Genomic DNA, 16,717 nt, shown 5'->3' on the forward strand with positions numbered 1-16,717 from the left:
AGTTGGCCATTGCATTGATTCTTATTCACTCAGAAGCTAAATCACAGGGCTAATATGAAACATGTGTGAAATACCCCTTTTTCATGCACTAGCAATGAAAGGCTTTCACAAATCTGCAGCCAAATGAATGTACTTACTGAGTAATAGGAATGTGCACATGGGCATCATTTTATTACCACATACAGGCCAGCTTCATCAAAGCTTTGATTTCACATTGAAGAAAGTGCTCCAGCTACCCAGGGAGGTAAAGGATTGCCAGCACAAGGCCCCAGGTTGGGAAAGTGACTTTTGATTTGATATCCAAGGCCTGAGGATTTCAACAGTGTGCATAACATCATTTGGTTGCTTGTAGAACCACGGAATGTCAGCATGGGACAGTATCTCAGGTCATGTAGCTCACCTGCATGACAGGTGAAGAAAGGGCTTGTGGAGGGTCACTTAGTTCACCAGCAACAGATCAGGGACTGGAATCCATCCTTTGACTAGTGTAGGCCATGGCCATTCCTACCACTGGATTCAGGACCCATAAGTCTTCACCAAAACCACCATAGGAAATGACAGCAAAGACTATTATCTAACAGCTCAGGAAGGCAAGCAAAGGACACGGTATCTTGGCAAGCATTTCGGTTAAAGTGCTGGGGGACAGAGCATAAGGACCTGGGAACAAAGTCTTGTTCACTTATCTGTTTATAGATAATGCATACTCTACCAACATCTTTTTTTTTTTTTTTTTTGAGATGGAGTCTTGCTCTGTCACCAACTCTGGAGTGCAGTGGCACAATCCTGGCTCACTGCAACCTCCACCTCCTGGGTTCAAGCAATTATCCTGCCTCAGCCTCTCGAGTAGCTGGGATTACAGGTGCGTGCTACCATGGCCAGCTAATTTTTGCATTTTTAGTAGAGACGGGGTTTCACCATGTTGGCCAGGCTGGTCTCGAACCCCTGACCTCAAGTGATCTGCCCGCCTTGGCCTTCCAAAGGGCTGGGATTACAGGCGTGAGTCACCATGCCCGGCCTCTACCTTCTTCTAAAAAAGATTTGGGGTGGTCTGTAATTAAACACACACACACACATACAACAAAATAGTTCAGACTGACATCGGATTGTAGAATTGTTTTTAAAAGCAAAAAAATTGGAAATGACCCAAGTCGGTCCCTCCATAGGGGACTGGTTAAATAAATTCTGTTCATGCATATAGTGGAATACTACAGAGCAATCAAAAAAAAAAGAAAGAAAACTAAAGAAGTGCTCTGTACTAATATGGAGGTATTTCCAAGATGTATAGTTAAGGAAATAAGAAAGCAAGTTGCAGTACAGAGTATTCAATAGGCTATGTTTTATAGGGTAAAATGGAAAACTAAGAATACATACTTGAATTTCTGTGTTTTAGCACAAATAAACACTATGGGGACAACAGGGGCAGGGATGGAGTAGAAAAAGACAGAGGTGAGAGTGAGAAATCTTAGTGTATACCTCTGTAAAAGCATTTGATTTTCATGTTTTGCCTATTCAAAAATTCTAATCCAACTAAACACAAGAGGAAACGCAATAATAACACAAAGTCCTGCAGGTGCAAGAGCCAAAAATTGTTCCCTTCTGCCTTCTCAGAAAAATGGATGCAAATGGTGCCATGCCTGGGTTCCCACCCTCACATCAGCCCAGAAAGTGGAGGGTGAGTCACCAGCCTCTGGCCTGGAGGAGGAGGGAACAGAGCACAGAGAAAGCCCGGTCTGCTGGGCAGCCTGCTCAGGCTGGTCACAGTGGCCTGGTCTCTCTGTCTCTTCGTGGAAAAGATTAGGAAGGCTGGATGGCCTGGGACCTGAATCAGGCCAGTTCCACTCGAGGCCTGCCCTTCTCTGGAGGGCTATGCCCACGTCTGCTCCATGACCCACCCCCGAATCACCATCATCCCAGCTCCTGATGCCCTGTGGTTCCAGGAACAACCACACTGTACTAAGCGCAGTGTTCAAATTCTCAGGACCCCACCAGCACACTTGATTCACAAATATACGCTCATTTTAAGGCCATGTGGTATATGGAAAGAGCACAAGGCTGTGAGTCAGGAGATAGGAGTTCCAGCCCAGCTTTGCCGTGAACTCACTGATCCCCAGCTCACAGCCATGAGCACACTTGATCCACTGCTCATCCCACCCTCCCAGGGCCTTCCTCACTGTTCCCAGTCTCGATCCCAGCTTTGGCCCTAGTGCCAAAGCTCTGGGGGTACAATGCCCCACAACCTGGCATTGCTAAGCCACAGTACTTGGAGAAGAATCGCTGGAGATGAGAGAGGGCAGGGCCCTCAGCTGAGGATGGAGGCTTCAGCTGTGCAAACATGCTCTTCCCCTCCGTCTCTTCTCTGACCCCTTATTGGAGGAGGAGGGGGGCACCCAAACAGCAAATCAATTAAAAGTTACTGCTACCACCCAGATGTCCATACATGAGGTTAAATTAATTGTCTGATTAATGAATTATATCCATATTACAGAAAACCATGTTATAAAGAATTACGGCCATATATATAAACAGTTTTTTTAAGATATTAAGTGAGGCCGGGCGTAGTGACTCATGCCTGTAACCCCAGCACTTTGGGAGGCCGAGGCGGGCGGATCACGAGGTCAGGAGATCGAGACCATCCTGGCTAACACGGTGAAAATTAGCCGGGCGTGGTGGCGGGTGCCTGTAGTCCCAGCTACTTGGGAGGCTGAAGCAGGAGAATGGCATGAACCCGGGAGGTGGAGCTTGCAGTGAGCCGAGATTGCACCACTGCACTCCAGCCTGGGGGACAGAGCGAGACTCTGTCTCAAAAAAAAAAAAAAAAAAAGAAATTAAGTGAAAACACAAGCTGAAGAACATAATATTTAGTTTGATCCCATTTTTGTTTAATATGTATCTATTTTCCAGATCCATGGTAACAGTAGAGATATAGACAGTGACACGGATGTGGATCCGGCTATAGATAAAGCAATTCCCTAAATTGTAGATAGTGATGATCTGTGGTGATGAGGGGTAGTATCACAAGTTCCTTCACTCTCTCATAGAAGTTAAATACTTCTATGTTGTTATTTTTTTCTGATACAAAGCAGTTATTATTTTTGTAATTTGAACAAAGATCTTTCAAATTTACTGCATATCTACTATATACCTGGTTGGGCTGGCCCAAATGATGTCCAAAGTAAGTCAGAGGCTCAGGGGAGGAACCCCCCTCCCAACCCTGCCCCATCCATCAGATGGGAACCTGGGGCCCAGGGAGGTCTCGTGGTTGGCAGCACACAGTGAGTTCATGGCAAAGCTGGGCTGGAACGCCTATCTCCTGACTCACAGTCTTGTACTCTTTCCATATACCACGTAGCCTTAAAATGAGTGTATTTTTAGGGGAGGAGGGTTCTTGATGTGCCTGGTAGGGAAAAAGCAGTGGAAATACTGCCCCCGCCCCACAAAAAAAAAATTAAATTTCACTTTCCAGGACTCACTACATGGCCGCCAGGTCAATACCGCCACTTCCTAAAAGTCAGCCATTGACTGATGGAAGATTCCAGACAAGTGTTCATTTAAAGATGAACCATTAACCGTAAATCAAAGCCCAGAGTGAGTGCTGAGTTACAAAACTAATTAGAATGAGTGGGTAAATGGATGGCTGGTCTCAGTCCCAGTGGCCACCTGACTGTTATCCACCAGGGCTGGGAGAAGATATATTCTCTGAGTCATAAAAGCAACACAGGGTCAGAGAAGGCTTCTTTAAGAAGTCTCTCTCTAATATAAAAATAATCACCACCATCTCCTCAAAAGGCAGCCAAAATGGCAGGGCACACATTGATCAATTAACAAGTATTATTAAACCTCTTATTCCACTGAGCTTGGAAGGCCCAGCGGCCTCTTCCATTTGACCACCACTTTACAACGCAGAAAGGCTTTAACTCATCATCCTGTTGGATCCCCTGTGCCCTGTTGCTGGTACTTTTTAACCTCCATTTTTGTGTCTGCAGAAGTGATTAGTGACATGTTCAGGGGCGTGCAAAGCTGACAGGCAGAGCTAGGCGCTGCTGTTGCCCCCATGCCACACTCTGCTGAGGGGCTGCAGAAGGAAAGGAAACTAAACAACCTCTGAGAAAGTAAAACAACCAAAAGTACAACCCAAGCCAGTCCAGAGTTGGTGCTGATCTGTCACCCTCCCAGACCACCTGCACTACAAAATGCAAACACATTTTTCCACCCTGAGATTTTTGTCTTCTGGGTGCAGTTTATGTATGTGTGTTTGCACATATGAATACACATATGTGCATCTTTAGTGTTTGACTCTTTGTACTCCTTGAAGTGTTTGTACCGACACTGTCCATTAAACTCTCGCCTTAGGGTCAGTAAGACAGGCAATCTATTTCCATTTAATAGATAAGGAAGCTGAGGCTCAGTGCATCTCGCCCCATGTCTTATTATTCCTCAGTGGCAGAGTAGGGAGGGACAAAAACTAAAAGTTGTTGAGGGCTCACTGGATCAAGAACTGTCCATGTCATCTCATTTTGCACCTACAACAATCCCGGGAGGGAGATTTGCTTTCCCCATGTTACACTTGCGGACAGCAAGGCTCAGGGAGACTGTCACCTTCCCCGAGTGGCAGAGCCAGAACTCAACATCAGGGCTCTCTGAGCTCAAAGCTGAGGTTCTGTGGTTGCTGTGCAAGTCCACAGTGGGGGTCAACTCTGTGCCAGGCACTGAGTAAGTCCTTTCCCAAAATATCAGTACTGGCAATAGCTTATGCGTAGCCTTCTAACAAGCTCGGAGGGAGCTAAGCTCTGTCTAGGGCTCTTGAGGACAGGGCATGCCCCAGCATGTCTTTAAATCCTGGCATGGCCCAGAGCAGGGCACCTGGGCACGGAATGTACCTTGTTGAGGTCTCCACCACAGTGCCATCCTTTTCTAGGGCCTTCTCTTTAATTTCTGCTGTGCAAATTAAAGGATGATGTGGACTTTTAGGTAGCATGAGCTCTTGCCTGCTGTTCACATCCTGAATAACTCCATGCACACTCAGTGAGGCGAGTCAGTGCCCCCAAACAGCTCTCTGCACCCAAGAAACCGGGCCAGCTTCATGGTGTGCCTCAGATCCCCTCACCTCCACTCAAGTCACCACTGCCAGCCTTTTCCAATGTTTCCATTAGAGTTTGTCATCTCTCACTGCCCTAAAAAGTGATATGATGATGATGATGATGACAAACATTTCCACATGAAGGCTTGGGTGTCTGAGTCATATTTTGTTGCTTTGTCCCAGTGGTTTCTGTATTTAAAAAAAAAAAAAACTGAAAAGAGAGGGCAGGACTGAGTGAGTGTGGGCAGGATGAGTAATCCCAGCCTTGCTGGGTCCTGGTGGGAAGAAGAAAAGGGGGTGGAGACAGAATGGAAGAGAAGATGGGAGTGGCTGTGAGGGCTGGGCAGGGGGAGCATCTACCCCAGCTCCGGACAGGTAGGACTTGGGCCCCCAAAGTCAGATAGCATTGAAATCCAAACAAGGTTTATGTGCTCAGCTGCAGAATGTGGGCGTGCGGAGGCAAGGGCAGTGTTCCAACCAAGTGATCCATAACCAACAAAGGGAGAGCCCATCTAAATCTGCCCCAGACTTTCAGGTCAAGGGTTCCCTCCTCCAGGTGGCCTTTGCACACCACCCCAGCCAAGAGTGATCCCCCTTTCCTCTGAACCTGAACCACTCATTTGTCCCGGGGGCCAGAAGGCTTTGCTAGCCTCCATCCCTGTGTATTTTCATTGCTTCCCCAATTCCATCATGATTTCCCGAAGGACAGGGAACTTGTCTTCCCACCTCTGTGTCTTAGACGGCACCTTGCAGACAGAGCCATGCTGCATGAGCCACCAAGAAATGTTTGTGGACCAAAGTCTCAGAAAATGGTACCAAATAATAATCACACAACTTATCCTTCGATCTTGGGCTTTATGCTATACAAAGCCATGTCACATTCTTGTGAGGTAGGTGGCAAGTGATATTAAGTTCATTTTACAGATAGAAAAACTGAGGCTCGTGCAGCATGGAATCTGAGTGGCTGCCCAATGACTAGTGAGTAACCAGAAACAGTTCTGGAACCCAGGATTCTAACTTTATTCTGATTTTCCTTGGAGGGACTCAAAGTTTCTATTTCCTTTGAAGCACATAACAAATAATTTTGGGGCACACTGCATTACGATAGCCCATCCCCGTCCAAGAGGTACAGTGTATATTAGCATCACCAAGGCTCTGAAGAAATCTCTTTGGCTTAGTTCAGTGCAGCCTTCTCCAAACTTGCCTTACCCTGAAATCTTTTTGCATGTGACCCTACCGTATTCTATACTGAGCAAATGTTCTGTACTGTCACTTTCCCGAAGGGTAAACCACGCTCCCAGGACAAGCTGTATATTATTGGCATAGAAAGGCTTAAGCTAGATAAACAAAGCTCTAATGGTGAAATTTCAGGGCTCAGCCAGCTGGTAGGAACATTTCCACTTCTTTTTTTAATCACTGAAATGTTCAAAGAGACACAAAATGTTTGTGTATGTTGTTCACTAAAATCTTTTATTCTGAAATTTTTTTCTGCAATATTTTGAAGAAAATTCTAGATATCATATCATGTTGTCTGAATTTACTTCAGTATATAACACTGTCACAGCATTACACATCCTAAAAAATTAACACTAATTCCTTAATATTTAACCCAATTCTCTCCAATATATCCTTCTACAGTAGGTTGGCTTGAATCAGGATTCAAACAAGACTCATCGATTGCATTTGGTTGGTGCATCTATTAAGATTCTCTCAGTCTATAACAATTCCCTCTTCCCCATCCCCTTTTCCCCCTGAACATCAGTCATGTTAGAGAAAGAAATAAGGTTACTGGTCCTGGGAAGCTCCCCACTGGTCTGAACTTGGTGATGGCCTTCCACAAGTCCTTGGCTCAGGTAGAAATTGGTAGTTAGAGCTATCACTTTATCAGCATTAGCTTCAGCCTCATGGCAAGAAAACATTATGGTCGGTGCAGTGTCCTCCCTTTCACATGGCAGCTGGCTGTCCCACTTGTAGCAAAGCATAAATTGATTTGGGGGTTTGGATGGCGGGAGGCACATCTTTTTGAGCAACTAGGTCTTCCCAGTGTCTCCAAAGTTATATTATATTCTAGAATTTGGTTCTAAATACATCTATAACCCAGGATTTGCTAATTTTCTAGGATTTCATGGAAGATGCTCTCCTACCATTCAGTTCCAAAATTCTATCAGTTTACCCTTTCCTAGTCTGTTTTTTGGTGACCTTTTACCTCTCCTTTGCTTTTTTTTTTTTTTTTTTTTTTTTTAAGAAAAGCCATTTTCCAATTACCAGGCAAGCCAGGGACCTCGTATTCCCTCCAGGCCAGCCCCTACCAGTGACTCCATGGGCTTAGCTAAAGTCCCAGGGTCTCAACAGTCCATGGCTTCCTCCCCTCATCTCTTACAAGACAAGTCAGAATCTCAAGGAGAGCAACAACACATAGTCGAACATGATAAATATGCATCCCAAATTTTTAAAAACCAAATTACACAAATCAAGCTTATTCTGAGAGGTTTGTTTTACCAGGGGTCTCTAGTGCTCCAATCAGCATAATTAAATAGTAAGATCTCTCTAGAATTGATTGTGGTTTTCACTTTTTTTTTCATCCAAGGACCATTTCAGCAAGATGATTTTAAGCTAATAAGAACCCCCAAATTAGAAACTAATTAAGGAGATGGAAAATACAAATGTATTTGTTTTTAGTCGGGTACTATTTTTATCAGAAGAATCATGAAAAATTAAAATTGTTAAATACTCATATGAAGGTTGTCAGTCAAGGGCAATGTAGCTTTCTTCCTCTCCCTGCTGCAAAACTTAAGGTGATATAGCAGAAGCTGTTCCCCCTGGGCTCCCAGGAAGCAATAAAGATACTAATTTTAAAGAAACAGAATTTATACACTGCCAGACTCGGTGAGGAAAGAGTGTTGCCATAATTCTCTCAAATCTTTAGCAAGTAAGATCCACAGCACCTTTTACTTTTAGAGCGCATGTACACCTGGAAACAGGATTAAATCATTGCAGTACAGACTCTCATGCCCATTTAATAGAGGAGAACATTAAGGTCTGGGGAACTTAAAAGAACTGCACTGGGTCACATAGCAAACTAAGAAAAAGCCAGGTCAATAACCTTATCCAAATGTGCTTGAGTTTGTGACACCCCCCTCTGCATTGTCCTCCAAATGTGCCATAGATCATCTTTTGAAATAGATGTTAAGTCACAGTGACACTGGTTTGAAGGACTCTTTTAGGATTCGTGACAGCCTTGAGAGCTTGGGGCCCAGGAGAGCCAGCAGGAAGCAGCAGCCAGCTGCTAAAGGGGGCGGGGGCTCTCCAGTCTAGAGAGGCAGGCAGCAACACGAGTGACCCAAATACCACTGCAGCGAGCATCAAAGGCCCATTAACCCAACCACACACAGTCAAATGTGGACCCAACCTTGAAAACACTGTCTCAATGCCCAGGACCAGAGAATTTCCATTTATCCTGCAGACTTTGCCCTGATTCCAGTGCAGCTTAAGCCCAGTTACTTTTCATGTCACCCACCTGCACCTCCTGATCCTACTTCCTCCACGCCAGGCCCAGAGGACATGGGATTTGCCTGGAGCCCCCATTCCCTATCACAGAATCCTCACCAGACCCAAGCCAGGGAGGCAAGGAGGACCTACAGGACTTACTTAGATCCATGGCATGCTCCCAAGTCCCAGGAAGGATGGATTATGAGCTTTCACAATAATCTAGGTGGATTCCAAACTCAGGAGGATTGGCTAGAGACCCCCCACACACAACAGGCTGAGGGAAAGTAAAGATGTCAGGGAAACCTACTGCTGCCACCAACACCCAGATCCTTCCCCTCTCCCAAAGGAGAACAGGAGGCAAGGGGTTAATTCAGAGGCACTCACCCCGGGGGATAGAGCACCTAGGGGGAGCACCTCATGGGAACACCTAGTTGAGTCCTATGGCAGCACCATCTGCCATGAGATGCCAAGAGAAGGGGCATCTTTTAAATCAAATCTGCAGCCTCAAACCCAGCTCCCAGACCCGAAAACACCCCCAGGTAGGGAACTAAGAGTCTCAATAACATTTGATAACTCTATAAAGGACCTTCACATACACTATCTCATTTGAGGCTCTGAAAAAACCCAGAAGGCAGGCGCTATTTAACTCATTCTTCAGATGGGGCTGGGCATAGGGCAGTGGCCAGAGCTGCCATTCACAGGACAATAAAATGTGTACTCCCTCCAGTCCCAAAAAGAACAGCCATATTTCGTGACAATAAGATCTGAACTCCCTACCCTAAGGGGAAGTTATTTGAATTTTTCTTTCTGGGAAAAGCAAGGGGACATGGTAAGGTAGGAACAGGCCTTTGTTTCAAAGACTGAGGCTGGGAGGCAGGAGACAGAGGGATGAAGGACATGGAGCTTTTAGAGAAGGATCCCTGGGTTGGATCCCAAGAGAGGTGGGATGACTTGGGACCTGGAGTGGCTGGCAACCCTCACTCCACTGGAGTGCAGTGCCTCGGTGCTGTCGGCCCCCTAGAGATGGTGGCCTGGGCACTCTAGCTTCCCCTGTGGCAGAGCTGGCATAGATAGAGCACCAGCTGGCTGCAGGGGGCTGCCTCCTCCAGCTGACCACACAGGTCTGGATAAAGGGGCACCACAGGCAGCTGTCACCACCAGGGGCTAAGGCCCAGGCCTCACCCCTCCTTATTTGTGCTGGCCTGCAAAGTGGCCCGGTTCTCATGCAAAGGGAGAGTGGAGACAGAACTACAGAAATGCCAGTTAGGAAACTTTCTGCCAAACTTAGCCAATAGGAAAACCCAAATTTGTTTTTATTTGATTTAGGAAAATAAGAAGAATTACTTCTTGAAATTGATCGTCACGGGGCAATTATTCATTATTTTATTTAGTCCTCATAGTTACCTAGCAAGATAGAATTTATTAGTTCCAATTTCAGGGAAGCTTCTGAGGCTCAGAGACCTTCAGGAACCGCCTGAAGGTCCTAGACCCAGCAAGCGGCAGAGTCCTGAATCCAGTTGCTGAGACCTGGAGTCAGGGCTGGTTCCAGAGAACATAAGTCACCATCTAGAATAAGTGATTCAAGATATCTCTTATTATTCAAGAGAATGTCCCCAGGGATTCGTTATAGACATTTCATAGTAAATCCTGATGTCTAGTCAGGATACCCCTGGCCCCTGGGTGCTCCTTGGCAAGATATTCTAGAGTCTAGATTGGTGCTATCCAACACAGTTGCCACTAGCCAACTTGAAATGTGGTTGGTCCAAACTGAGACGGTGCTACAAGTACAGAATACACTGTAGACTTCAAACACTTTGTATGAAAAGAATGTAAAATATCTCATTCATAATTTTTATGCTAATTACATGTTAAAATAATATGTTAGACCTACTGAGTGAAATGAAATATATCATTAAAATTAATTTCACTTGCTTATTGTTACTTTTTTAAATGCTGCTACTACCACATTTAAAATGACACACGTGGCTTGCATCTGAAGCCCGCCCCAGTGGCTATTGGGCCACCTCACTCCAGGTCACAAGTCTTGCCTTGGCTTCTTGCACACCCCTCCCCTTGAGTTGGAAGACAAGGAGTCAAGACTCTCCAAGCATTCGGAGAATGTCCTCTTTTCTCAACACTTCTCTAAATTCCTGGACCCACCCCTCCTGCCTCCAGTCTTTCTGTGTGCCCAGCAACTGCCAAAGCACTTAAATGCAGTCACCATTTCCGAGTGGTAGGGTCCACCTAAAACCACATTTTCTGTGGCCAGAGAAATTCTGATAACCAGTTTTCAAAGCCCAGGCCCCCAACCCTGTTAGCAGTCAGAATCCCTGGAAGTTAGAAGGCACTTCTCCCAGCCTTCCTGGCTCTCACCCCCCACCAGACTGTGAGCTTCTCCAAAAGCAGAATCACGGAAACAAGCTACATGTACCGATCACTTATTATGGTGCCAGCTGCTGTCCTAAGTGTGTTACATGTTTTACTTTATTTCATTCTCCCCACTAGTCTATGAGTGAGATAGTATCGTCCCTGTTTTTGAAGATAGAAGCTTGAAGCCTCCAGAGGCCTGACCAGGCTCCACACTCCCTCCCGTGGAAGCAAACTGCAGCTCATTCTCTGCATTTCCGGCAGTGAGCACAGTGCTCGGTGCACAACAGGTAATCAGTAAACATTAGTAACATAGGAGAAGAGCGCTTGACAGACCCAGTCCCTGGCTCTTTCTGGTCTTCATCAGGAGGCATGTTGCCCGTTAGCCTCCTGAGACTACAAACTTGAAAGTCCTCACCCACCTACCTCCAGGATTGGATATTTTCTGCCCCTACCCAGTCCCCCAGGATGCTCCCCAGCTTCAGCCCTGCCCAGGTCCCCAGCCAAGTCCAAGAAGTACAGACCACTTGCCCCACTGAGAGGTGGGGTCTGGGGATAGCCTAGGGCCAGTACATACAGGTCATATTTAAGCCAGCTCCCTAGCTCAGCCCCTCCAGTCATAGCCAGTCCCTGACTACCCCTTGCCAGAGACCCTGGAGCTCAATTCTTTCTCCATTTCCTTATATAGACAGGAGTCCAGTTCCGAGCCCACCTAGCACCTTTGGTTGATCCACTTCCTAGAGCTGGGCTCAGCTTTCTAGATTCCTTCTTCAACTTATCCTTTCTGCCTAATTTAGAACAAGGCCACCCAGAAGTCCTAATGTTCTGCTCCTCCCCATCCCTTGGCTCTGACCCTGGGGACCCTGACACTGGCCTGTACTGAAAAGGAATTTACCACACCCTCTTGGGCCTCCTGCCCCAGGCCACTGGCCCTTCTCCCCTTGCCTTGGTCAGTTTCCCAAGGCCCCAAGCTATTTTTGCCTCCACCCCAGCCTACCATTTTCCCCACGGTGGAAGTTGCCAGGGTGGTACCTCATATGACGCACACAGCAAAGACCAGAAAATCCATGGGAACAGGCTGTGCCATTGGATCAGAACCCACCTTTGGGGTCTCCAGCCTACTGGCTGGCCCCTGTCCTTCTAGTCTCAAGGCCTTGCCTTCTAGGCCCTAGAGACTTGCTTGATGCTTCCAGGCTTGGCTGACTTCCCTGAATCAACTGCTAGACCCAAGGTATCTGACAGGCCCCTACTGTCCTCTCCAGACCCCTACTCATTACCTCATCCACCTTTGATCATCTGCTAATTGCCTGGGCATTCTTGAAAGAATGGCAAGACAAAAAGCCTTCTGTTTTTAACAAGCAGGACTCATCCATCACCACACCTGTCATTTGACATATCTGAACCAGACCTAAAGGCTTCCCAACCACTGAGGTCTCCAGGTCTATTCCTCACACATCATGGACACGATGAAAGAGCTTCTTCACTTCTCGCTCCCTCTGTTTCTCCACTGGCATGAACTCCCTGTTTCCCACAGAAGCTGATGGGGAATAATGACTTCTTGATTTGTTACTCTGAGCTCCTCAAATACGACATGCTATGTCCATAAAGGCATCAGGCCTTCCCATAAGGCATAGGAAGTGAACCCATCTAATGCTAAATCTTCCAGTGCTTGGCTCCAGCAAGCACATGGGGCAGAAACTAATAACTATAAAGCATCCATCTATCATCTTATCAGGCCTTAGTGTGCTTTGTTTGCATAGTTATCTTCCCACAGGTTGACATTTTATGCTTACTGCAAGCTGATATATTCTCCTACCTGCCATATCATTCATAAAGGATAGACAAGCCTCAGGTTCATTACCTGTCATTACACCATGTACATGTCACCAGGGGCCAAAGCATTGATTCTTCTTGGATCTCCCCAGCAGTGCAGCCCCAAACGCCCAGGCTCCAGGTCTAATGGGCGTGGATTCTGCTCATGCCTCAGGCCCTGGGTGGACTCCACGCCATCACTTCTTGCTCTTGTGGCTGACCCACTCCTCAGGGTTGGACAGAGCTTCTGAGCTCCCAGCTGCTCAGAGGGGATCTGCAGGAAGAACAGAGGGCTCCATCACCCACCAGGGCCAGAAACACATGTCCAGGTTTTAGCTGTTCTCGAAAATTCTAGCCATCCTTCTCTTTCTCTTTATTATTAGGGCCTGCAATTCTTCATGACTATACCAACTCGATCTCATCCAGGGTTTTCACTGACAGTGTCCTGCCCACCAACCCAGGCCCAGGCCTCAACACACACACACACACCGCACACACATGCACACACACGCCCTTCATTCCTTTCTTACCTCAGCATATTTCATTTCATCTGCCTGAAAGACTCACCTTCTAATCCTGCATCCAAACCCTAGCCATCGTTCAGAGTTTAGCCCAGACTGACCAACAGAACCTCACGCTGTTCCATCACCCCAGGAAAGAGAAAGGAGATGCATGTTCTCGCATGTGAGATGTATATAGAAGTGCAAGGACACGTTTATGTGGAACATTCCTTAACTCTTCTATCCCAGATCTCCCAAGCAAGGCTTCTGGTGTTCTGTAGTTTGTTGGGGGGGGGGGGTCCAGGTAGGACACCCCACCTATGGCTGATGATGAACATCTTTTCATAGTTCGTCATCTCAGAGTGAGAGACAAAAGTGGAAACACAAACCTTGCTGAGATGAGGAACAGAGACACCGGCTCCACAGAGCCATCACATTTCATAGCCAAGATTGTGCCTTATGCTGTGTCAGGAGGGGCCAAAGTCCTTCTGGCTGAAGCAGCCTGCCCCAGCCTGGAGGTCTGCCCATCTCCGGACAAGTCCAAGGTGGCTACAGCCCTGCATCTCTGAGCAGGCACAGCCCCCATCTCTTGGGGGTGAAAAGAGTAGGCTCCTGGGGTACCCACCTGGCTGTGACTCTCAGCTCCACCCCAACCATGGGCTCCTCCAGGCCTCAGTGGGCCATTGCTGAGAAGAGACCGTGGCAGACGAAGAACATCCATCGGGACACCCAGCATTGCAGACAAGGGGAAGCCCCAGAGATAGGAGTGAGAGTGGCAAAAGAAGGAAGGGACACATATATAATGATTAGACTCTCTTCAAGCTGCTTTTGCATCCATTGGGGATCCATTTAGTTTCTCAGTAGCTCTGTGGAGGGGTGTTTGAAAGACTAGGAAACAGATGCACAGAGAGGTTGAGAAGCTTGCTAAAGATCACACCGTAAGTAAATGAAACAGCCAATTATCATTCTTTCCAGCAAGCTCCCTGGCCCTAGGTTAATTTCATCTTCCTTCCAAGTCACCTCAGGGGTGGGGGATGAGTGGGAATGGGAAGGAGGAGGGGGACATTGGCCTGTTTGCCCTGCTATGGGGGGATGGGGAGAAGAGGAGAACAATCATGCCTTTGGATTCTTCCCTCATAGGAGGGTCGAAGAGGAGAAAGCACAGAGATAACAGAGTGATAAATAAGAAAGACAAGAATGTGGAGGCTCCTAGTTAACAGGAGCGGCTCAGGCACAAAGAAATTGGCTGCGATAAACAGCCACTGCTTTGGGAGAGGCTAGGCTGACCTTGAGCCTCCCAGCAACTTGGCCCTCTACAGCTCACACTCCAAGTCACTTCTCTGCAAAGCAACAGAGGTTAGAAGCCCCTTCGAAAGAGCAAAACAACTATTATTATCTCCAAAAGGCACATATACATTTCATATACTCTATGTGTGGAATATATTCTTAAATAATAAAAATGAAAACAACTCATAGAAGTCTGCCCATTTGACGAAAGATCTCAGTTGCTCCTGGACAATGGGATTCTCTGCTTGATTCCAAAGCAGCTCTTCTCATGACATAGAGAAACTCACAACCTAGGACATTCCTACTTAGCAAGGAAAGGCAGGGCCAACCTCCTTCTGGAACAAGTAACATAGGCCAAAGGCCAGGAAACCCAGGGTAGGTAGCAGATCCATAGAGTTTGGCAGGAAAATAACTTCAAACCTTAATGGCAGCCATGTAGCTCAGTGCAGCCCTAAGTGCCCACCTCTAGTCAACAGAAGACTAGATCTCCAGACTTCAGGCTCAGGGAAGAGCAGAAAATCTGCCCCTGGCATCATCGCTCTTTGTCCCAGGCTGTCCATGGATCCTTGTTCAGCCTTGGGACTTTCAGTGAGCCCTGCTATGTGCAGAAGATGCCATGGGGGAAGGAGAAGAAACTACACTCTTAAGAAGCCGGTCACCATCCCACCCCGACTGGCTGCAGGTCACCTGGCAGCTGTGGCCCCAGAGGCAAACAGCTACAGCACATTCATTTTTGTTGGCGTGGGGAGGGTGAGGATAGGAGCTCTTCCAAGCTCTCCTGCAAGTTGGGGTTGAAACATATTCACAGCAGATGGTGCTGTCGCCCTCACTCCGGGATTCTCATTCCTAATTATCTGTGCTGTCAGCAAAACAATTAACCCTCAAAGAAAAACTGCACCGTCCACTCCCAACCATATGAAAAGGCAATTTTTTCCAAGGACAAGGGACACTTAGGGCAGCCTTGCACTTGGTTCTGGATCTCACCACCCTGGGTGATCTCGCCATTCTTTGACCTCTGCACTCTGTCACAGGCATTGCGGCAGCCCCCCTCCTCTGAGCCTGCGGTTCCTTTCTCATAAAAGAAGGAGGTGAGTCTGTTCCCAAGGGCCCCCTTCAGTACCACAGTGCCACCACTCTACAAGCCATTTCTTTTCATCTGAATTTTCAGTTCCTTTGGAGCTGGAACTGAGTTTCTGTTTGTTTCCTCATTCGTTTGCTCACTTGTTTATTTACCCCTCCATCCATCCATTCTGTGATTTTGGATTTATCATGTTGTTCCCAGGAGATACAAAGACAATATCTGTTCAGCCTTCTTGACTACTTCTTGGAGCTCTTTTCCCCCGGAGATGTGGGCAGAGGAAGGAAGGATAGGATAAGGAGAGGTGGAACTGCCAGGGGCCTGAGGATGTAGCCCTGGCTCGGTCTCAGGCTGTAGGAGGCAAGGCCTGTGGCTGCATTTGGATTCTCTCTGAAGATTTAGCTGCAGAAAAGCAGCCTCCTCTCCAGGGAGCTGAATTTAGTGAGGAAGCCACTTCAGTCCCCAGGGAAGACCTGCAGAGGTGTGATCTGAGGAGAGCGGACAGGCTCCCACCCCATCACCCATCAGCGAGATAGGTCTTATTCGCCACTGTAGGGCTGGTGACAGCACAGGGCCTGCCCTTGGTAGGTGCTCATTAAACATCTGAGGCATGAGTGAATGACTCTCCTTAAAGGAGCTGTTGTAAAAGAAAGGAGAGTTTTCACAGGGCTACAGCATGCCGCTTGTTACCTTAGAGGCCTACTATTCAAAGCCGGGATCAGTTGGTCTAATTCACCCATCATCATGCACTGCCATGGAAAAGAACACAAAATGAGCAAGAAACTGTGGAATGATTCACTGTCAATGCTGAAAGAGCCCTCAGAGATGGTGACATCCAGGGCCACATTTTACAAGTGTGATCTGGAGATGTTGAGGGGGAGATGGAGAGAAACCCTGCCGTTGGTGGGGGGCCTCCCTCCAAGGCCTCACTCTCGTTCCACAGACTGGGGAATGCATGATGTAGAAAGGAAAAGAAAGGTCCATCAGGGCCATTGTGGGGCTCAGGCAGGGACAGTGCCCTGGGCACCCAGGAAAGAGGTGCAGAAACTGGATAGGGGCTGGTGGGATCAGGGAGCTGGGACCCCTCCCCCGACATCATATTTCCCA

General features: G+C 47.3%; 1 protein-coding gene across 15 annotated transcripts in view, besides 2 other annotated features; it reads right to left on the bottom strand.

Moving 5' to 3' along the window:
- The window catches only part of ZBTB7C (zinc finger and BTB domain containing 7C), a 385,914-nt gene that overhangs the window by 298,708 nt on the left and 70,489 nt on the right, over window positions 1-16,717 (bottom strand). For 10 of the 15 annotated variants that reach the window (NM_001371287.1, NM_001318841.2, XM_011525864.3 and 7 more), the window contains one exon: window positions 12,795-13,019. The exons of the other annotated variants lie outside the window; for them this stretch is intronic. The gene's annotated coding sequence lies outside the window, so the exon portion shown is untranslated. The remainder of the gene's footprint in view (window positions 1-12,794; window positions 13,020-16,717) is intronic. 15 annotated transcript variants of the gene reach the window in all.
- Window positions 9,190-9,690: an enhancer, noted in NCBI's record as "H3K4me1 hESC enhancer chr18:45860940-45861440 (GRCh37/hg19 assembly coordinates)". NCBI's record gives its function as "activates a minimal SCP1, AML or CMV promoter by ChIP-STARR-seq in naive H9 embryonic stem cells {active_cell/tissue: H9 hESC(naive)}" and the evidence as "EXISTENCE:reporter gene assay evidence [ECO:0000049][PMID:30033119]".
- Window positions 9,691-10,191: an enhancer, noted in NCBI's record as "H3K4me1 hESC enhancer chr18:45861441-45861941 (GRCh37/hg19 assembly coordinates)". NCBI's record gives its function as "activates a minimal SCP1, AML or CMV promoter by ChIP-STARR-seq in naive H9 embryonic stem cells {active_cell/tissue: H9 hESC(naive)}" and the evidence as "EXISTENCE:reporter gene assay evidence [ECO:0000049][PMID:30033119]".

This window comes from Homo sapiens, chromosome 18 (genome assembly GCF_000001405.40).
Source record: "Homo sapiens chromosome 18, GRCh38.p14 Primary Assembly".
Taxonomy (NCBI): domain Eukaryota; kingdom Metazoa; phylum Chordata; class Mammalia; order Primates; family Hominidae; genus Homo; species Homo sapiens.